Source organism: Homo sapiens, chromosome 20, assembly GCF_000001405.40.
Source record: "Homo sapiens chromosome 20, GRCh38.p14 Primary Assembly".
NCBI lineage: Eukaryota > Metazoa > Chordata > Mammalia > Primates > Hominidae > Homo > Homo sapiens.
Window position 1 is genome coordinate 48637451 of NC_000020.11, and position 21211 is coordinate 48658661.

At 52.7% G+C, this 21211-nt stretch overlaps 1 protein-coding gene across 6 annotated transcripts in view, besides 2 other annotated features; it reads right to left on the reverse strand.

The window, feature by feature from the left end:
• PREX1 (phosphatidylinositol-3,4,5-trisphosphate dependent Rac exchange factor 1) overlaps positions 1 to 21211 on the reverse strand; it is a 263934-nt gene that overhangs the window by 13199 nt on the left and 229524 nt on the right. For all 6 annotated transcript variants that reach the window (XM_047440333.1, NM_020820.4, XM_047440332.1 and 3 more), the window contains 15 exons: positions 20686 to 20778; positions 19590 to 19738; positions 17840 to 17925; positions 15911 to 16047; positions 15136 to 15256; positions 13946 to 14133; positions 13444 to 13605; positions 12546 to 12756; positions 11850 to 12126; positions 8401 to 8607; positions 6959 to 7047; positions 4957 to 5039; positions 4718 to 4808; positions 2316 to 2444; positions 261 to 302 (listed from right to left, as the gene is read on the reverse strand). In XM_047440333.1, coding sequence (XP_047296289.1) covers positions 261 to 302; positions 2316 to 2444; positions 4718 to 4808; positions 4957 to 5039; positions 6959 to 7047; positions 8401 to 8607; positions 11850 to 12126; positions 12546 to 12756; positions 13444 to 13605; positions 13946 to 14133; positions 15136 to 15256; positions 15911 to 16047; positions 17840 to 17925; positions 19590 to 19738; positions 20686 to 20778 — 2065 coding nt within the window. The remainder of the gene's footprint in view (positions 1 to 260; positions 303 to 2315; positions 2445 to 4717; positions 4809 to 4956; positions 5040 to 6958; positions 7048 to 8400; positions 8608 to 11849; positions 12127 to 12545; positions 12757 to 13443; positions 13606 to 13945; positions 14134 to 15135; positions 15257 to 15910; positions 16048 to 17839; positions 17926 to 19589; positions 19739 to 20685; positions 20779 to 21211) is intronic.
• Positions 1101 to 1395: an enhancer, noted in NCBI's record as "tiled region #6651; HepG2 Activating non-DNase unmatched - State 20:ReprD". NCBI's record gives its function as "activates a minimal TATA promoter and a strong SV40 promoter by Sharpr-MPRA in HepG2 cells {active_cell/tissue: HepG2}" and the evidence as "EXISTENCE:reporter gene assay evidence [ECO:0000049][PMID:27701403]".
• Positions 5142 to 5286: a silencer, noted in NCBI's record as "fragment chr20:47259130-47259274 (GRCh37/hg19 assembly coordinates)". NCBI's record gives its function as "represses an EF-1alpha promoter that drives an FKBP-Casp9 reporter gene in an ReSE screen in phorbol 12-myristate 13-acetate-treated (for megakaryocytic differentiation) K562 erythroleukemia cells {active_cell/tissue: K562(+PMA)}" and the evidence as "EXISTENCE:reporter gene assay evidence [ECO:0000049][PMID:32094911]".

Consider the following 21211-nt stretch of genomic DNA (forward strand, 5'->3'; position numbering starts at 1 on the left):
CCTAACATCGTCCTCTATCCCGGGGCCCCGTCAACATCCACCCAGGCCTGGGCAGTGGCACAGGACAGGGCTCCTGGCTCCAGTGCCCTGAGACTTGTCCCTTGGACACAAGAGGAAGAAGCAAGTTTCAAGTAGCTCTTGGAGGGGCTCCAGGCCAAAGCGTTGCCTCCCCCCGTCCAGGCCCCGAGGGCATGGATGGTCGGCCTTGGGTGGTGGAAGAGGCCGGGTATGTGCCCCCCACACACCTTTAAAGGCCTCACCTGTGCACTTCAGCAAGGCCAGGAGCAGCTGGTTCTTCCCATCTGGAAGGAGAAGGGAGACAGAAAGGGGGACGGGCTGGGAGGGGGCAGCAAGAGGTGAGGGCAGAACCGGGCCCCTCCCCATGGCACCTCCCAAGGTGCTCTGACCCTTCACAGCAAAGCCCTGGCACCCAAGGCTGTGCTCAAGGAGGTTTTATTGATTGTCAGGTAAACTCCAGGAACCCCTGACCTCAGGCAGTGGAACCCCAACTGTGAGCCCCATCTGTACGTGCAAGCCTGGGACACAGATGGAACCAGCCCCTTTAATCCCTGGGCCACAGCCCCTGCCCCACACCTTGTTCACATAAGTATGGTCACACACACGTACAACCTAGATACACACGTATCCATACACACACACACTCACACATCAACAGACACCCAAGTGCATGCCACACACAGAGACACACACATATACTCATACGTAGACTCACATATGTACACACGCAGGTACACATGCGCCCACACAAGCACACAGCAGACACACAAGTGCACACCACACACGTGCACTCATCTGCAGACTCACATACATATGTACACACACAGGTACACACACATCCACACAGACACACAACAGACACACGAGTGCACACATAAGACACACACTCCTAACAGCCTCACATACATATTCTCATCCTACATGGGCATGGCCCTACACACGCCCTGTCCTGCAAAAAAAGCTCAATTCTTCCAGGCCCAACATCCTGTTCTCTTTCCTTAAAAAAGATGCTCCTCGGCCCACAAAAGGGCTTAGAAAGATGTGGAAGGGCTTTGGATTTGGTTTATTAGGTGCCTTCTTCCCCAGGGAGGACTGCAGGACTCAGGGCTGGGCAGGGTAAGAACGAGAGCAGCTGCAGTGGTGCGCTCTTGTCAGGACTCACCACGCCAGGCACCACGGCAGGACTCACCACGCCAGGCAGCCAGGCCAGAACTCACCACACCAGGAAGCCAGGCCAGGAGTCACCACGCCAGGCAGCCAGGGCACTGAGCGCATGACCTATGCTGACTCATTTAATCCTCCTGACCACACGGGAAGGAGGCAGCACTGTGGGCCCATTTGACACAGGAAGAAGCTAAGGCCAGAGGCGTCAAGGAACTCGCCATGATCACACAGCCAGTAAGTGGGTGAGCTGGGATTCAAGCCCTGGTGGTCTGGACCCAGAGTCGATGCTCCTCACTGGTTACACTTTTGGAGAACAGGACAGATCAGAAGCAGCAGAGACTCCGACTCAGAGGCTGCCATTCCCCGAGGGAACAGCCCAGAGTCCTCTAATCTCCCACTGTCCTGGTCAAACATCTCCCTCGTCCGGATCCTTCTAACGCAGGAGTCTCAGACGCAAATGCCGGCAAGGGCCAGGCAGGTGATGTAAGATGCGTGGAGCAGACGCCAAGCCACAGGGAGTGGTGGAGACTGGGGTGAACTGGAAAGCACCTCGGCCCCACGTACACAGAGCGGCCGCCACTCCTCTCCACCAAGGGAGGATGGGAGACTGGGCCTAGAGTCACCAGATCTTCGTGTTGTTCAAGAGCAGCCAGAAATCCAAGTTTCTATGTGAGAACCTTTGTCAAGCTGGAAGCAGAGTCACAGTTTTTGCTGCTGCAGCATCGAAACCTATCTGTGGGCCTGAATCTGGTCAGTGGGCTGCCAGCCGGTGTCCCTCATACCCTGATAATAACAGGAACTCACACATCCAATGCTTTGGAAGCTGAGAAAGAACAGGTTCAGCCTTTTCAACCTCCAAAGTCAGGGCTTTGTTTTGTTTTGTTTTGTTTCTGATTTTTGTTTTGATAGAGACAGGGTCTCACTATGTTGCCCAGGTCTCAAACTCCTGGGCTCAAGTCACATCCTGCCCAGGGCAGGACACTCAGCTGAGAGAGGGCATCACTTCTCTTGTCCTCTCCCTGGTCATGGAGAAACAGGGGTCACAGAACTGGATCCATTCCTGATTCTCTCAGGTTCCACACCAAAAGCCATGGCCCCCTCCCCACCATGATGCACCCTCCCTGCCCACCGACCTTCCACATATCTCTGAATGTTGTCCACCAGGGTCTTGATGGAGTTGGGGAGGTTCCAGGGGTCCTCCTGGATGCTAATCTGGATCAGGCTCCGGCCACGGATTGTACACTCTTCTTTCTGTTTAAACTCTGGGGCAGGAAAGTGGCATGAGGGCCAGGGAAGGGACGGAGGTAGTGTTGGAGAACGGTGGCACAAAGGCCTATGTCCCATCACAGATCCCAGAGCTCATAATCCTAGATCAAGGGAGCTGGCAGGACTCCTGGGCATTATCGGGTCCACAGAGGGTAAGTGTGCTATTTCATGGTACCACACCCATGGCAGGCATTATTCATCAATCTCAGCACTCCTTCCTGCTGCTCTGAGACCAAGACTCCCCACAGCTATAGCCAATCCAGTGCAGACCTCACAAATCAATCACGGCTTTCCTTTCGTCTAAGCCTGGATGTTGTAGCCACAGAAGGATTCTCAGGAACTACCTCCTCATAGCCACAACCAATTGAGATGGCACATGAGTTCTATCCCTTTCCCTACACAGAGGAGGAAGCCCACACACAGAGTGGGAAAGTGACATGCCTTAAGTCATGCAACTGGGCAGTGACAGCGCTGGGACTTACCTCTGGCCCCACCATTCAGAGGCCAGGAAGAAAAAGGCCCCTGCAAAAGACAAAGGCTCTTTCCTCCTGCAAGGTCCCAGTTTCTGAGATATTTGTGGGTTTGCTGTTTCTGCTTTCTGAGGTCCATCCCTGAAAGCTGATCCTGAGACAGCAGGATGTGCAGCTGAGCTGGGGAGCCCCAAGTCCTCACCACTTCCCACCCTCTCTTGGTGGCAACTGCCCATCTGCATTTCTATCTCCTACAATCTACAATGAGCTCCTTGAGGTCAGGGCAGTATCAAATTCATCTCAGGGTCTCCAGTGCCCAGTACAAGGCCTGGCACAAGCTGGTTCTGGGAAATTATTTACTGGATGTACAGAAGCATGAATGGACAGGTAGATGATGAATGAATGGGTAGAAGGGTGAAAGAGTGGGCACACAGATGGAAGGAGGGAAGGATGGATGGATGGACAGACAAGAAGATGGATGGATGGATGGGTAGGTGGGTAGATGGATGGATGGGTGGGTGGGTGGGTGGGTGGATGGATAGATGGTAAGTGGGTAGTTGGGTGGAGGGGTGGATGGACGGATGGATTGATGGGTGCATGGGTGGCTGAGTGGGTGAATGGATGGATAGCTAGATGATAAATGGATGAGTGGATGGATAGATGGGTGGATAGATGGATAGACAGTGGGAGGGTAGATGGGTGGATGCACGGATAGTAGGTTGGGTGGATGAGTAGGGTGGGTAGGTGGGTAAATGGGAGGAGAGGTAGGTGGGAGAACATAAGAAATTTCAATTCCTTTTCTCTCAATCATTTCAAGAAGAAAGCCTCAATTTGGTGTTGGTAAGCCCTTAACACTTCTTTAATTCACAAATCCCTCTCTTAAATGAAGAACAAAGAGCCCTTGGCAGGCAACAGTGCCTAACTGCGGTATAATGATATTTCGTTGCCGTTGTTTGCATTTAATTTATCATTATCATTATGGTTTATCATCAAATTTTGGCATATTATGCTGGCTTTTCATATATAGGGAGTTCAATAAGGTCCTTTCAAAATTAAATTTTTTAAGAGTGATACTTTTTAAAAAGTGATGTCAATAATAAGAAAAAAATGAGTATGGTTTAAAAGACATGAAGGAAGGCTGGGCACAGTGGCTCATACCTGGAATCCCAGCACTTTGGGAGGCCAAGGCAGGAGGACCACTTGAGCCCAGGAGTTCAAAACCAGCCATGGCTACAAGGCAAACCATGTCTCTACCAAAAAAAAAAAATCCAAAATTAGCCAGGAGAAGTGGCGTGCACCTGTAGTCCCAGCTACTTAGGAGGCTGAGTTGTGAGGATAACTTGAGCCTGGGAGGTCAAGGCTGCAGTGAGCTGTGATCATACCACTGTACTCCAGCCTGAGTGATAGAGTGAGACCCTTTCTCCAAAAAACAAGAAAGAAAGAAAGAAAGAAAGAAAGAGAGAGAGAGAGAGAGGAAGGAAGGAAGGAAGGAAGGAAGGAAGGAAGGAAGGAAGGAAGGAAGGAAGGAAGGAAGGAAGGAAAAGAAACAGGAGGGGAGGGAAGGGGAGGGGAGGGGAAGGGGAAAGGTCAAAAGAAAAAGAAAAAGAACCATTCTTGGCTCAGAGCCTACAAAAACAGGTCATGGACTGGATGTGGCCCATGGGCTAAAATCGCTGTCCTGATGATCCTACAGTCGTTCAGCAGTAGGAGGGCAGAGCTGAGCATTAGCCCGGGTACGCCGCCCTGTCTAACACCCTTCCCCATCGCAGGCTGTCACCTTGGACTGGCTATCCCCTCACCTTGTAAGCTGTGGTTCATAGGGAAATGCTTGGTCTCTTCGAAAGCCCGGCTCATGACTGGCCCCTTGAGGAGAGCATTGATGGAGTCCACCTGGGTGGCAAGAAGCCTGGGGTTGGTTTGGGCCCCGTGGCCCTACACACTGCAGACATCTGGGACCCACAGCCCCCGGGTCATGGGCCCTCCCCAGGTGTGACAGGAGGAACCCAAAGTTGCGCCAGGAGTGGGGCAAAGGTCCTACCTGGTTAAAGAGGTGCTCCAGGCAGCCATGAAGCTTGTCCTGCTTGTCAGATGGGATCCGCATGTCACAGGGCAGCTCATCTCCTGGCAGGAGGTAGAAGCAGCAGCCATCAGTCATTCCTGCCCCACCTCACACCATCCCCAGCACTTTCCTAAGAGGGGGATACAGCTACAGAACTCCAAACCCACAAGGGATGTGGAGTCTGAAGACCAGGTCCTGGCTGTGAGCCACAGGGCAAATCACCTGACCTCTCTGAGCCTCAGTTTCTTCATCTGCAAAATGGACAACAGGCACTAACGCATGACAAGATTGTAAAGCACTGCTACTGTTTCCATTCTGCAAATGAGGGACTGAGGAACAGAGAAAAGGACCTGGAGGCCACGTCTCCTGATTCCTCACCCAGCTGGTTCAGTTACATCAGCTGTCACACCCAACTCCTTCCTAGAGCCACCTGGGGACAGTTTGTGCAGTTGACTATCTTATGTGATGAAATCTGTATCTAAAGTTCAACAATTTCTTCCATTTTACTTGAGCTTCTTTTTCTTCTGTTAATTGAAGTATAATTAAAATTAAATTTTTATGCACAGACTATCTCTGAAAAGACACACAAGACTGCAGTGACAGTGGGAACAGCAGTGACAGCCTGAGAACCAAGGGTGGGGGGGAGACTTGTCACCATGCACCCTCCGGGGCCTTCTGAATTATGTACCATGTGGATACACAACCCATTTGCAAAATGAACTGCTTTAAAGTCTGAAGTAAACAAGACTAAAATAAAAAACAATTTCAGGCTTTCAGTAACGCCTTTAATCCCAGCAATTTGGGAGGCCGGGGCAGGCGGATCACAAGGTCAAGAGATCAAGACCATCCTGGCCAACATGGTGAAACCCTATGTCTACTAAAAATACAAAAATTATCTGAATGTGGTGGCGGGCGCCTGTAATCCCAGCTACTCAGGAGCCTGAGGCAGGAAAATCGCTTGAACCCGGGAGGTGGAGGTTGCAGTGAGCTGAGATCGTGCCACTGCACTCCAGCCTGACAACAGAGTGAGACTCTGTCTCAAAAAAAAATTTAAAAAAAAAAGCTGTAAGTAGAGTATGATCTAATTTATAAAATATTGTCTATGTCTGTCTATCCATCCATCCACCCACCTGCCCATCCATGCATTCACAGGCCCCACCAATGAGCTCCAAATGCTGGCGAGGGTCATTTCTGGGGGAGATGATAAGACTCTCATTCATTTTTATGGACTTCTTTTTGTTGTTTGTTTGTTTGCTTGTTTCTTGAGATGGAGTCTCACTCTGTCACCCAGGCTGGAGTGCAGTGGCATGATCTGAGTCCACTGCAACCTCCCCCTCCCAAGTTCAAGTGATTCTCCTGCCTCAGCCTCCCAAATAGCTGGGATTACAGGTGCGTGCACCACCACACCCAGCTAATTTTTTGTATTTTTAGTAGAGACGGGGTTTCACCATGTTGGCCAGGCTGGTCTCAAACTCCTGACCTAAAGTGATCCGCCTGCCTTGGCCTCCCAAAGTGCTGGGATTACAGGCGTGAGCCACCACGCTCAGCCATGGGTACTTCTTTGAACTGCTCTGTGTCATTTGGATTTTCGGTTTACACATGTATCATTTTTACATAAACCATGAGGTCACCCTGTTTAGTTGTCAGCACACGCATCACAACATTCATCGAACATGAAGTACACAGAATTGAACCGTGCATGCTTCCATTTGCTCCATCTCCATGACATTCACGGAGAACATCAGCTCTAAGAGGGCGGAGATGTTTGTTTCTTTCGCTGCCGCATTCCCAGTGCCCAGCACATAATATGGGCTCAAGAAATACTTGTTGAATGACTGAATGGAAGGAAATCAAGTACAGGACCATGCAATAAAACACAAAACAATATAATGCAGAGGAAAGTATAATAAAATAAACTAAAACTAAATCTCATGGGGAGGAGCCTCTCTCCCTGAGCACAGGCCGCTGCCACTCCACTCACCAGACCCCATCTCGTCGCTGCCCAAGTAGGAGCTGTTACTTCTCACGCTGGTGTAGGACAGGACCGAGTCTCGATTGCTGTTACACTCGCTGCAAAGGGGCCCAGAGAAGGGGCTGAGTCACCCTGAGCTCAGGCCATCTGGTCCTGGCACCCAAAACCCACTTTCTACAGTGTAGACAAAACCCCTGGGCCCTCAGGTGGGCGTGCAGCCCAGAGAGGGCACCGAGCACCGGTCCTGGGTCCCAAAGGCAGGGAAGGCCGGCCTGGTGGGTTTTCCACGCCTGAGGGCTGGGAAACGTTTCTAGGCTCTAGCACAGAAACACAGAAATAGGAGGAAGACGGTGAATCATTTTCACGCAGGTGTCACTCTGTCCAGTGTCCCCAGGGGACAGCCTTGCCCTGAGACACCTGCCCATTCCACAGGGCTCTGTCTTCCGTCTCCTCAGCCCCCAGCCTGGCTGGAAACCTCATGAGGACAGGGACTGGATTGGATTCCCTACGGCCCAGGAACTCGGAAGGTGTGGGAGATCAAAACCCAGGATCCTGACATTTTTTCCTTCACCTTTTTGAAAATTAAAGGAAAAACTGGAGGACCCAAAAATGTAAGAATGAAATCCCAGAGAGAGGGCAAAATCTGAGACTATGGACATGAGGCTCTGGGGGCACAAAGTGCCGCAGCAGCCAGATACAGACGCCAGGCGAGCAGCCAACGGGGGATCAGGCAGATCCCTTGACGACTGGAAGAACATTCACGCTGCGAGGACTGGGGGGAAGGTCTGCCTTCTCAAACTGTATCAGTTCTGATTTTTGCCCACAAACAGTTGAAGCACCCTCTAAGATTCCACTGTAACCACCATGGGCAAATGTGATGTCACCTTTCACTGGGACCACAGTGCTGGTTTATCTGCAGTAAGGAATTAAACTTACCCATTATATGGCTTATTACAGGAAACTGAGTTTTAGTCTATTTAACCAACTAGTTAGGACCTCACTGATCTTGTTATAATTAACCAGTAGAAAATTTAGATCTTCTCAGGTTAGGAGGGGAAAAAACTGCACTCTTCCTCCTTGGACCAAATAAACATAAATAGTGCTTGTTTCAGAAACCGTATGTCTTACACTGAGTTTGCAAACACACCACAGAATCTTGCCCTTGTGCCTGACAACATCGTGTCAGCATGTGTGGGGTGACACTGAGGCAGAACAGATGGGTCCACGTGGGGACAACCCTAAAATGTCAGCTTTGCAACTGGGGAGCCTAAGTGGGTCTTCCAGGCTCAGGGGTCTCAGATAATCCCCCAGAACCACGCTATCAGCAACAGCACCCTGAGCCCACTGCACCCTGAGAAGTGTCCACTGATTCTGATGTTGCCACGGGTCCGTGGCCTCACCTGTCCAGGGCCATCCTCATCTAACCTCAGCCCCCTGACGGTGACACCCACCTGTAGGAGTCGCGATAACTCATGGTGTCGTGGCCTGAGTCCTCCTGGTCCTCCTCGGCCACCTTGAAGCACACCTTCTTGATGCCCCCATGGTCACTCCTGTCCATCTCGCTCTCTTCACTGACCAGGGGCAGGGAGGAGGCCTCCTCAGCCAAGGATGCGTCGCAGGACCCACCCGAGGTGGGCTCTGTGATGGTGGACAGCAGCCTACGGAAGCAAAGACCTTGAAGTCAAAGATACAGGCCTGGCCCTTTGTGTCCCTTCCCTGAAAATCCCACCAGCAGCTGCAGGTGTGAGCACTGGCCCTCCTGTTGGGGGTGGGAGACTCGCAAGTTCTTTCACGGCCAAGCTACACAAGGCTCTACCAGAAGGTGAGGCAGGAAGCCTTTCCTGTGAAGACCCTGAGAGCAAATCCTTCCACCTCAATAGGCTGTAGGGTCTCAGTGACAACCATTCAACCTGCTGTTGCAGTGGGAAAGACCTGGACAGTGTGGAAGCAAATGGGCGTGGCTGTGTTCCAATGACACCTTGTTTAAAAATGAAAACAATCAGCTGGGCGCAGTGGTTCACACCTGTAATCCCAGTACTTTGGGAGGCTGAGGTGGGCTGATCACCTGAGGTCAGGAGTTTGAGACCAGCCTGGCCAACATGGCCAACATGGCGAAACCCTGTCTCTACTAACAAACAAAAATTAACTGGGTGTGGTGGCGGGTGCCTGTAATCCCAGCTACTCGGGAGGCTCGTATGAGAATCGCTTGAACCTGGGAGGCGGAGGTTGAAGTGAGCCAAGATCGCACCACTGCACAGAGCGAGAGAACCCATCTCAAAAAAAAAAAAAAAAAGAAAAGAAAAGAAAAAGAAAACAATAGGCTGAAGTCTGGACTGGGCCCCTAGGCCATAGCTCATCAATCCCCACTGTAGGGTGTGACGGTTAAGAGCACAGGTTTTGAAGCTAGCTAAACCCCAGATTCAAATCCCAGTATTGCCATTCCTCAAGCTAATTATTTAAACTCTCGGAGACTCTGTTTCCTCATATGTAAAATGGGATCATATCAGTATCTATATCTTAGGCTTCTGTGACAATTAAGGGAGTTAAAATGTGTAAACAGGCTAGGCCCAGTGGCTCACGCCTGTAATCCCAACACTTTGGGAGGCTGAGGCAGGAGGATCTCTTTAGCTCAAGACTTCAAGACCAGCTGTGAGACCGCATCTCTGTAACAAATACAAAAATTAGCCAGGCATGGCGGCATGTGCCTGTAGTCCTAGTCACTTGGGAGGCTGAGGCAGGAGGATCACTTGAGCCCAGGAGTTCGAGGCTGTGGCAACCTATGATCACACCATCACACTCTAGCCTGGTGACAGTTGGATAAAGTGCTCAGAACAGTGTCTCTGCTAGGCGTGGTGGCTCATATCTGTAATCCCAGCACTTTGGGAGGCCAAGGCGGGTGGGTCACGAGATCAAGAGATCAAGACCATCCTGGCCAACATGGTGAAACCCCATCTCTACTAAAAATACAAAAATTAGCTGGGAGTGGTGGCGTGTGCCTATAGTCCCAGCTACTTGGGAGGCTGAGGCAGGAGAATTGGTTGAACCCAGGAGGCGGAGGTTGCAGTGAGCAGAGATCACACCACTGCATTGCAGCCTGGTGACACAGTGAGACAACATCTCAAAAAAAAAAAAAAAAAAAAAAGAACAGTGTCTCGTGCCTTCTAAGTGAGCAGTGATGAATACGCCCAGCTAGATGCAATCCCACCACATCTCCACAGTCAGTAGCATGATTAGCCCCATTTGACAAACGAGGAAACCAAGGCTCAGAGTGGTTAAGTGACTTGCCTAAGTTTGCACAGTGGATAAGTAGCAGGGCCAGGATTTGAACCCAGGCCTCCTGGCTCTAGAGTCTACATTCTTTTTTTCCCTTATCATGGAATATTTCCATCATACACAAAAGTAGAGAGAATATCATGAACCCAGGTATCCAACAGGCAGCTTCAACAACAGCCACTCAGGGTCCACCTTGTTTCCCCCATGATCCCCATCACTTTTTATTTCCCTGGAGCATTTTGTTTTGTTTTGAGACAGGGTCTCGTTCTTTCACCCAGGCTGGAGTGCAGTGGTGCAATCATGGCTTACTGCAGCCTCGATCTTCTGGGCTCAAGTCATCCTGCCTCAGCACACTGAGGAGCTGGGACAACAGGTGTATGCCATCACGCCTGGCTAATTTTAGGATTTTTTTTTTATAGAGATAGGGTTTCACTACGTTGCCCAGGCTGGTCTCAAAGTCCTGGGCTCAAGGAATCCCTCCAACTCAGCCTCCCAAAGTGCTGAAATTACAGGCATGAGCCACTGTACCCAGCCCACTGGAGTATTTAAAACAAGTCCAAGATAACACGTAATTCCACCACACCTACTTCCGCAGGTGTCTCTAATACATACAGACTTTCTTTTAAACATGTGGTTCTCAAGTGGGGGCAATTTTGCCCCCTAGGAAATCTTTAGCTATGTCCAAAGACACTTCTACTTGTCTTAACTGAAGAGGGATTTTGCCACCAGCATCTCGTAGGTAGAGACCCCAGATGCTGCTGAACATCCTCCGATGCCCAGGACAGCTCCCCAACAAGGAATAATCCAGCCCCAAATGTCACCAGTGTCAAGGGTGAGAGACACTGCTTTACACAGACCACACTGCTCAACTGTGCCCAACAGAAGGAAGGAGTCCTCAATACCATCAAGCACCCAGTCTGTGGACAAACACCCCTGATTGTCTCAAAATGCCTCCCCACATGGACGTGCTAGAAACCTGCTAAGCAGGTTCAGAGGCTGCATCTGGCAGGTCCGTCTCTTGAGTCTCTTTAATCTCCAGCAGTTCCTCTTCCCCACACCTGCTTCCCCATCATTCGTTGATGATTTGGCCGGATGCCTCCCCAAGGTGCCATTGAACCACCCTCTGCCCCACATCCTAGAGCTGAGTAAGGAGACCTTGAACCTTCAGGAGATGACAGCTCTGTATCTGCTGGCAAGAGCCTCGTGGGCGGGGCTGCGTCTGTGTCCTGTTGTATTACAGCAAAAGGACGGCTTGTACAGCTGCCTCCTTTCTATGATGTTAAAATTATAAAGTTCTCTCCAGAATCTTTCAGCAGATAGTTTTAGCCTCACTGATGAGCGCTGCTATATCCATAATATTTCATTACACCAGTGGTTCTCAGTCAGGGATGATTTTCCCTGCAGGGGATATTTAGCAATGTCTGAAGACATTTTTGGTTGTCACAATCAGGTGAGGGGGTGCTACTGGCAGCTAGTGGATAGACGAAAAAGATACTGCTAAATAGCCTATAATGTCCAGGACAGCCCACCCCCCACTACAAAGAATGATGCTACCCACAATGTCAGTAAGGCCAGGATTGAGAACACCTGCCCCTGCTCACGCCGGACACCCCCGGCCAGCGCTCACCTGTTGATCTGGGTGACATATTGCTTCATCTCCTTCAGGGCCACATCCAGCTTGGTGAAGAGCTGCAGGTAGGCATCCTGGATCTCACGGTCCTCCTGCTTGAGTAGGAAGCTGAGGCCCCGGTCTTCCTGACCAAGGGTCCCACTGGCTGGCCCGAAGCTGCCATCATGGAGACCCTGGCCTTGGGGATCACCCTCTGCAGCAGGCAAGCACTTCCAGGAGGGAGCAGCCATGGTGGTGATGCAGTGCTGGGTGTACGACATGGGGTTCAGGTGGCCTGCAGTGGAGGAAGAGAGAGCTCACTGGAAAACAGCCCCCAGCATCCACTGGGCCTTTGGGCGGAACAATACAAACCCATTTCAAGGATCCCAATGAAGGAGAAAAATGTCCCTTCTAAATACTCTTAATTCATTCAGTTACTTCAAGAAGACTGTTCCAGTCTGGTGCTAACATGCTTTTAACTACTGTGATCTTTTCCTGCCTGCAATGCAGACATGATGGCTGGTACCCCAGCAGATATCATCCACAAGGCATAAAGCCACATCTAGAGATGCTGTCCCATAAAGAGAGAAGGTCATCCCTGATGACCATGGAGCCGCCATTCCAGCCCTGGACGGCTGACCTTCAGACAAGTTTTGGTTTAAGTATCTGGAGTGCAACATCTGAACACAGTTTCTAATAGACACACACAGGTACCTTGCTCCGGGTCAAGGCCGATGAGGGAGGGTTTGCGTCCAAAGCGGATGCTGAAGGACCTGCCCACTGAGGGGGTGGTCTTGGGGTAGGACACTTCCATGAGGTTGATGTGGCAATTGGTGGGGCAGAAGTCCAGGCCACACAGCGGGTGGGGCTCCAGGGGGGCTTGTTTGAAGGGTGGGCTGACCCTGCTCTTCAGTTGGGCTGCAAACTGAGAAAGTGGAGGCCGTAAGGTCGTGAATCACAGGGCAGGGTCTGGAAATATTGGCCCATACCCAGTACCCACTTTATCCTGGCCTAGGCCAGATGCCCCACAGTTGGACAAAATGCCAGTAGCTCCAAATGAGAAGGGGAACCCCTGGACTGTGTTTCACGGCTCAGGACTGCAGGGAAGGCCTGGAGGAACCCAAGGCCTCGGGGTGCCCACCCCATGCATGGCTCCATTTTGGCTGCCCCTGAACCATCCTTGAGGCATTGTCTCTGCCCCACCCTCAGTTCATGAGGTTCAGGGTCAACGTGCCTCTCCATCCCTATGGCGATTGGAACCAGGTGAGGCAAGTGACCTAAGCCAAGCCAACCAGAACTCCCTTGGAGTTAATTTTCTCCTGGGCTTGCTGAGGCTAGAGCTATCAAGGGCCAACGTGTCCCCACCACATGAGAAGGGTTTGCCTGAGAGTGAACCCAGCGCTAAGGAAAACGAAGCCAGGAGATGCGGAGAGGCCGCACTGCTATGATGTGATAAGTTCACCTCCGTCCTTTTCAGTAATACACACCATACATTCTCCTGTTTGTTTCAGCTGAGTTGGGTTGGGCTTTGTAATTTACAACCCAAATATCCCAGGCTGAGATGCTATGTCTGGGACCTGTGGCAGAGACCCCGGAGGGAGCACGCAGGCACCTCCTGGTAGCAGGCAATCCTCTGGCCAATGCTCTCCAGCTTGGTGTCACAGATGTTGCGGAACTCAAAGTGGGGCATGGTCACGATGGCGCTGCTCAGGGCCATGAGCCGCCTGCAGTTCTCCACGAAGACGCTGTCATTGGCAGCAAAGGCCTCGAGGATCTGCAGAAATGTCAACAGCTACTGAGCATTCCCTGTGTGCCGGGAAGATTTTAAGCGGTTCACCCACAGTGACTCCTGTACTACTCGTAATACCCCCCGGGAAGTCAGGTGTGTTGCTGGCCCATATTGCACGGGAGTAAACTGAGGCTAAAGGGACAAGCCACTCTGCACAGTCCCACGCTACCTAGTGGTGGGACAAGGACCAGAATTCAGGACTCCAGGCTAAGCCTGAGGAAATGGGATTCGGGTGTCCCACCCAACTCCTTCTCCCAACCTTTGATAAGAGAAACTGGCTTCAATCCCCCAGGGTAGGGCAGGGCCAGGCAGTGCCCAAGGAGACCTTGGCGGTGAGGCCGAAGCAGCCGCGGGGCTCCACGATCTTCTCCAGCACATGGCACCTGACGCCTGCCGTGCTCACATACTCATACACCACGCCGTGTTCCAGGTGCACGTTGTCCACAGTCAGGGTGACCATGGGGCTGTCCTCACACAGGCTCAGCCGGGGACCCAGGGACAGCAGTGGGAAGGCTGGAAGCCAAAAGAGGTGACATCTGAGCAGAGATCAGAGGGAGGGAGGAAGGCGAGGCGAGGAGGATTCTGGAGGAAGCCTTCCAGGCAGTGGGAACAGCAAGTGCAAAGGCCCCAGGGCAGGAGTACATTCCGCCAGAGTAGAGAGGCGAGTGGGGAAGTGATGGAAGGTGTTGGAGAGCCAGTCTGGACAAGGTCACACAAGCCATCCAAGGCCTGGCCCTGAGGACAGAGGGAGCCATCGGAAGGTTCTCTTCTCATCTGGGGGAATAGCCCCTTGGAGGAGAGGAAGTCAGAACAGGGAGAGCCATGAGCAGGCTACTGCCACCGTCCTGGTAAGAAATGATAGTGGCTTGGACCAGGGAGCTGAAACGGGCAAGGAAACAGATTCTCCCCGAGAGCCCAAGGAGGACCACAGCCCTGTGGACACCATGATTTCAGCCCAGTGGGACTCGGACTTCTGACCTCCAAAATTTAAGTAGTAACTGTGTGTTGTTTAAGCTGCTGGGTTTGGGGCACTTTGCTATAGCAGCCATCAGAAACTGACATAACATCGTGGGCATCGCGGCCGTGCGCAGTGGTGCACACCTGTAATCCCAGCACTCTGCGAGGCCGAGGCAAGAAGATTGCTTCAGCCCAGGAGTTAAGAGACCAGCCTGGGCAACATAGGGAGACCTCATCTCTAAAAAAAAAACTCTAAAATTTAAAAAATTAGCCAGGTGTGGTGGTACACGCTTGTGATCCTGGCTACTCCGGAGGCTGAGGTGGATCACTTGAACCAGGGAGGTTGGGGCTGCAGTGAGCTGTGGTCACAACACTACACTCCAGCCTGGGTGACAGAGCCAGAACCTGTCTCCAAAAAGGAAAAAAAAAACAAACCTGCTGGCATGGAGGTGGACTGGCTGGGAGGAGGGGAGGGGAGGGGACAACAGGAGAGGACCCAGCCCCTCCGGAGTCTCAGTCCCTCTGGAAGCTCCTGTCATGCCATGCCCCGTCTATTACCTGAATCAGCCTGGTCTTCCTCCTGGGCCTGCTCGCCACTGGGGTCCTCAGTGGAGGCCTCCTGACTGGCTCGTGCTTCCTGGGCATCCTCATGGGTGTGGTAGATCCACTGGTACAGGCCCTGCCAGAAGCCAGAGTAAGGGGACAGCCATGGTGCCGGCAGGTAGGGAGGAGGGGACAGGGCCGAGGTGTGAACTGCCCCTGGGTTCCAGAGCTCTGGAAACTCACTGACCACCAGTCACACTCAGCCCTCACCGTGCACAGTCTATGCTCCATACAGAAGCCAGGGGATGTGAAAATGTGAGGCAGGGACATGGGTGCAGACACGTCTCTCCTGTGTCCCCAGGGTCTACAAACATGCCTGGTGCACAGCAGGTGCCCAACACACACACACTGAGTGAACCAGTGAATCAATCAATGAGGGAATCTCGCCCTCCACCAGAACCCTGGCCCCCAACCAAATGGAGTATCCACTTTCCCAACCCACTTGACTATGTGCCCAACATGCCTATGTGGTGAGGAGAGAGGGTCTGGTCACACCCATTTCACAGCTGTGAAAACCGAGACCCCCGGGTATCATGGCTCAGCAACTCTGGTTTAAGGATGCAGCGGGAGCACAAAGCTCAGGCCCAGCTCCCTCTTGTTGGGTCAGCAGCTCCACCCTACTCACAACCAGTGGTACATGCAGGCTTTTCTCTAAAGAGAGGACAGCCCTCAGCCACCCACCCCCACTCAGCAGGACTTCTTTGACGGCCCCGGTTTCCAGTAAACTTACCAGGGCCTCTTCGCGCCGACTCCGGAATGCCTGGAAGTGCTCCAGGACCTCAGGGGCACCATCGTTCATCACGTTGCTGCCATTGACCTTCAGAATGCACTGACCAGCACAGAGCCCTGCAGCCATGGCCTCAGAGCCTAAGGGGAACAGGAGCACATGAGGCTGGATGCCAGGCAAGTACAAGCAGCCCGCTGAACACTGTCCCCCACCACCCACCACTGCAACCCCAGACACGCGCAAGGACTCCACCTCCACCCCTCCCACCCCAGAGCCGCCCTCTGACACTCCAGTGCAAAGAATGGATTGATGTTCCCATTTTGCAGAAGAAACTAAGGTTCAGAGAAGTAGTAGCTGGCCCAAGGTCACGCAGCAAGGCAAACGGGATCCGATTCAGGCCCGTTTCACTCTAGAACCTCGTCTCCTTTAAAGTCCTGCAGCCGCCTTGTGCTACTGGGCCGCATTTGGCAGAAAGCGTGATGGGCTCAGAGAGGCAAAGCCATGCTCTCTAGGCCGAATGGCCAGAAGCCAGGATTCCAACCAGGCCTATGAGACTCCAAGGGCAAGGTTTTTCAGCTATTCCACAATCCCCAAACCGTAGGTCTTGAACCCAGGGTTTTTTTTGTAGTTCATGTGAAAGGTCTGGAAATGCAAACAAATGTCAAGCTTTGCCCAGACATGGGGCAATACCAGGCCTGAATGGTGTGGTGGTGCCAAGTACAGCCCCTGGGGACTTGCATGGCTTCAAACCCTGGCTCTGCCATAGACCGACCCTGGAACCTTCGGCAAGTCCCTTCACTCTCTGGAGGCTGGCTTCCTCATCTGTGAAATGGGAACGCTCATAATCCCTACGCTGAGGGTCGCGGGGAGATCCGACGAGCTAACACGTGTGCAGCATTTAGCATCGTGCCTGGCACTCGGTAAGTGCTCAAGGAATAGCAGCTGGTTTATTCTTTTTACCGTCTTTGCCTATGAACACCTATTACTACCCATTATCAGTATCTCTGCAGATGTTCTGAGGCAGGATTTCTCACCAAGGCACTGCTGACATTTTGGGCCAGATAATTCTGTGTGGTTCTCTGGGGCTGTCCTGTGCACTGCAGCACGTTTAGCAGGATCCCTGGTCTACCCACTAACCGCCAGAAACACCCCCTCCCCAGTTACGACAAACAAAAATGTCTCCGGGCAGGGCCGATGTCCTCTGGAGAGGAGGCTAAGTTGTCCCAAGGTGAGAATCACTGCTTTAGGACAAAATGAAAACCTACTTTAAAATATTATCAAATTCTCAGTAACCTTCTGTCATGGTATGCGTTTTCTTAATGAACACCTAGTAAACACACAACTATGACCACACAAGTGAAAAATTTATGTTTAAACTTTAAAGGGAGGGGCACTTAGATGCAAAAAAAGTTTGGGGGCCCAGTATCATAGACCTACTTGGTTCCATCTCCAAGACATAGTGACGCCTTTAATAGCACACAAGGAATAGGCAATGCAGAAAGCAGAGGTCTTGAACTGGTGGCCTTTCGGCTGGATCCGGCCATAGAAGTATTGCGGCAGAGCCCCCAAATTTGCATTGGTGGCTTCTCTTAGAAAATCAAGTCTGGTGAGAGTGGACCCACATTCCTGTCTGGCAATAAGGAGCTCCAGCTGAGGAGCCACTGCTCCTTCCAGAGTGAACATGTATTTTTTCACCTTGCCATAGTCCTCACCACTACCCACTGTCTTCCACTGGGATGGCTACCCACTTGTAGCCTGCCTGACCCCAACAGGCATTTGTGTTTGCAAGTCTTGGCATCAGGCAAAGAAAATAAGTGCTGATGGTACATTGTCTGGCAGAAGCCTAGAGTTCAGAAGGCTCTGAACTCCTGCCACACAGACAGATCCACCATCTTCTGCACCTTTCCCCTCTCTCCCAAGGCTCCCACTCACCTCTCCCCACAGCATAGACGTACGGTGGGGCAGCTCCACGAATCTGGAAGCACAGTGTGTCCGGCTGGTCGGGGATTTTGATGATCCTGCACCAGGTAGAAGAGGCAGGGAAAAAGGCCATGAGGAAAACCAGCATCACTCTCAATAACCCCGGTGCCAACCCAGAGACTTTCTGCCTTGGAAACACTGGGAAAATTCAGCCCAAAATAGTAGTAGCACCACCAGGCTTTCCAGCTCCCAAATACAGAGAGAAATGTCAATCAGGCAGAGCCCATGCCACCAGGATCTTTGATTAAGCACAACCCACTGGCCTGCCCTTGGAGCTTCTGTCCTCGAACAGAAATTCCAGACCATCCTCCCACACCTCCATCATTCTCCTGTCCTAAGACCCTTGGAGGTGAGACCAGCACTCCAACCAGTCAATAGTTTAACAATCGCAGGTGGGAGGGTGAGAAGTGATCTGCTGGTACATCTCGGTGCTGACCCTAGAAAAACACCCACACAAGTCCCCTAGGAAGGCAGGTCTGGGCCATTCTGTGGGTCGATCCCCAAAGCAGAGAGGCAGCACCTGCCAGGGAGGGCAATGGGTGTCACTGCTCCTGGAGCATCAGTACCCTGCCCACATCCCCGTCTAAGGCAGGTCTCCAACCCTATGCTGCACAATTGTCCCTCCCATTCCCCCCTGCAGATAAAGCCGAGCTGGGAGCCTGCTCTCAAACCAGGTGTTTCCACAGCTTTCAGCAGACACATTCCACCTTGGTGCTTTCTGCCACTTCCACATACCAACCCATCGATCAACCACATTTTCCCTAAGTCAGCTCGCCTTTTTACTGAAATAATCATATTTAAAACTTTCCACCCCTCCTGTCAAGAGAAGATCTGTGTTAAATAAAAGGGAAAAGTGAAAAACCAGATGCATAATTTTTCAAAGACAAAATGCTTTGCTCCCCGGTACCTACCCCTAGCACGGGTCTGCTCCTCCCACCCCTGCTCTCGCACTCTGCTGAGCCACCACCTCCTCAGCTCCCCCGAGAGCCACCTTTGCCCCTGACAATCTGAGCTCCACTTGCAGCCACAGGACTTCGATCAGAAGCTTCCAGTGGCTCCCCATGGGTCCTTGCCAGGGGCCTCCAGGGCTGGACCCCGTTACCCTACAGACCTCACTACCCAGCCCTCCCTCTCACTCACTGCTCCAGCCCCATCAGCTTCCTTCTGCTCTTCCAATGCGCCAGACACGGTCCCACTTCAGGGCCTCTGCCCTAGCTGCTTCCCCTGCCTGGAGCCCTCTTCCTCCAGAAATCCCCTTGACTCCCCCCTCATCTGCTTCGGGTCTTCACCCCGACTCGCAGTGACGTCTCCCTGACAGCCATCCCTCTGCACACTCTGGCCCCTTTCCCGGGTTTATAGAAACTTATCTGTGCCACGCTCACCAGCACAGGCTCAGTGTCTTACTTCTGTATCTGCACATTGTCTGTCTCCTGCCTCCTCCCCCAACTAGATCTGAGATCTATGAATGGCAGGAACCGCATGCATCCCCACGTGGCTGGATTCCCAGGGCCCAAACTGCCACCAAGCACAGAGTGGCACTCTGTAAACATCTGCCGAATTAATGAAGGTCCAGCTTGTGTTGTGTGACTCCAACAATGGGTCCCAGCCACGGGGGACCAGGACAGTTCATGCCACCCCAGCCCTCAGCCACCACTCAGCCTGAGAGGGAGGGCTGCCGGACACCCCGCCCTGGGACACTCACTCTTTGGCCTTCGTGGCCACCAGGAGGCGCAGAGGGCGGCGGGAGCAGAAGGACTGGTTGAGGATGGACTCCACCTCTGAAAACGGCCGCAGGAACACCAGGTCCTCATTGATGGAGTAGATCTTCCTCCCCACCTGCAGGCCAGCCACCTGGGTAGGGACGGCAGAGGACAGACGTGCACACCAGTTACTAAGCTCCTTCCCTCCTCACCAAGGAAGCTCAAATGTGTTCAGCAGAAGGGTGCTGGCCCAAGGGATCCAGCAGGACTGGGTGACTGCGTGCTGTCTGTGGTAAGCAGTTGAGGGGCACAAGGGACCTGGTTCTGCCTCATGAGCCACAAAGGGAAGCTCATGGGAGGGCAGCTGGGAAAGGTATTCCTCCTGAGGGGAAACTCTGCTGGGGCCTGACCCTGTTGTGTGGGGACACGAGGGTCACACCGGGGTGGCCATCTTATGTCTGTTAGGGCCTGGCGAAGAAAGATGAAGACCTGCTGACCCGAACCAAGATTCACAACTGCCTCCTTCCAACCGCTCACATCACTGGCAAGGTCAACCTAGCCGCTCCGGCCATGGGTATGTCGCTCCTTGCAGCCCAAAGCATTCCTAATTGCCACAGGGGCAAGCTGGGCTCCAGCCAGCACGGCAGGTGCATCTCCCCCACCCACCTGCACACGCCCCAGGCAAAGCCGGAAGGCCCCAGGGCTGAATCCTCGGCCAGCCACACCCTCACTCTCCTAACCTATCCTCCTGTAGGCTTTGCATCAGACAGCAATGAGCTTATCTTATTCAAGCCACTGTGACTGGTTGCAGAAAACTGAGACACCTGCTTTTTTCCTGTACCTCCCCACAATGTCCAGCAGAGGGCAGTGGTGGAACACACCAGGAGCACAGCCCCGGGACTCTGCACTCACTCCCAGCTACTGTAGCCACTGCAGACAGTGGGTCCTGGACTCAGTTTCTCCACGTGAGCAATGAGAGAAGAGGAGTCAGCGATCATTCCAGAATCTCCTGGGCTGGGCTGCCTCAAGGAGGGTGAAGAGAGACACCCCGCTCTGCCACCTGCACACGGTCCCTGCCAGCTCCCCCGAGGGCCTCACCTCAGCCAGCGAGCCCCTCTGGACGGACTTCACCACCACAGCCTTGTTCTTCTCCTCGATGTCAAAGCCATAGTCCTCCTCCTGGGGCAGGATCTGGGGGCCCAGGGCAGAAGGAACCCGGTCAGGGAGCGAGGTGGGCCTACGGCCAGCCCCACCGTGGCCCCCACAGGACCATGACCTCGTCCCAGGTCTAGTAGGGAAGTGGCCAGATCCAGGTGGGCGAGACAGAGCAAAACGCAAACAGCACCTGGCAGAGCCAGTGCTCACTCTGTGCCTGCCACTGGCTTAACGAATCACACGGATCCAAAGGTGTCCAGCCACCAAGAATGTGGAGTCAGGGAGTTTAGGGAGGAGCGGTCCCACCCCAGGGCAGGATGGCAGGCATGCTAGAAACAGGTCTGGGGGTTCCCCAGTGCGGGGGATACAGGGAAAGGCACTCATTCAGTCAACAGACATTGATTGAGATGCTGCCCATCACACGGGCCAGGCAGTTCTCATGGGTGCTGGAGACACCATCTAGAACAAG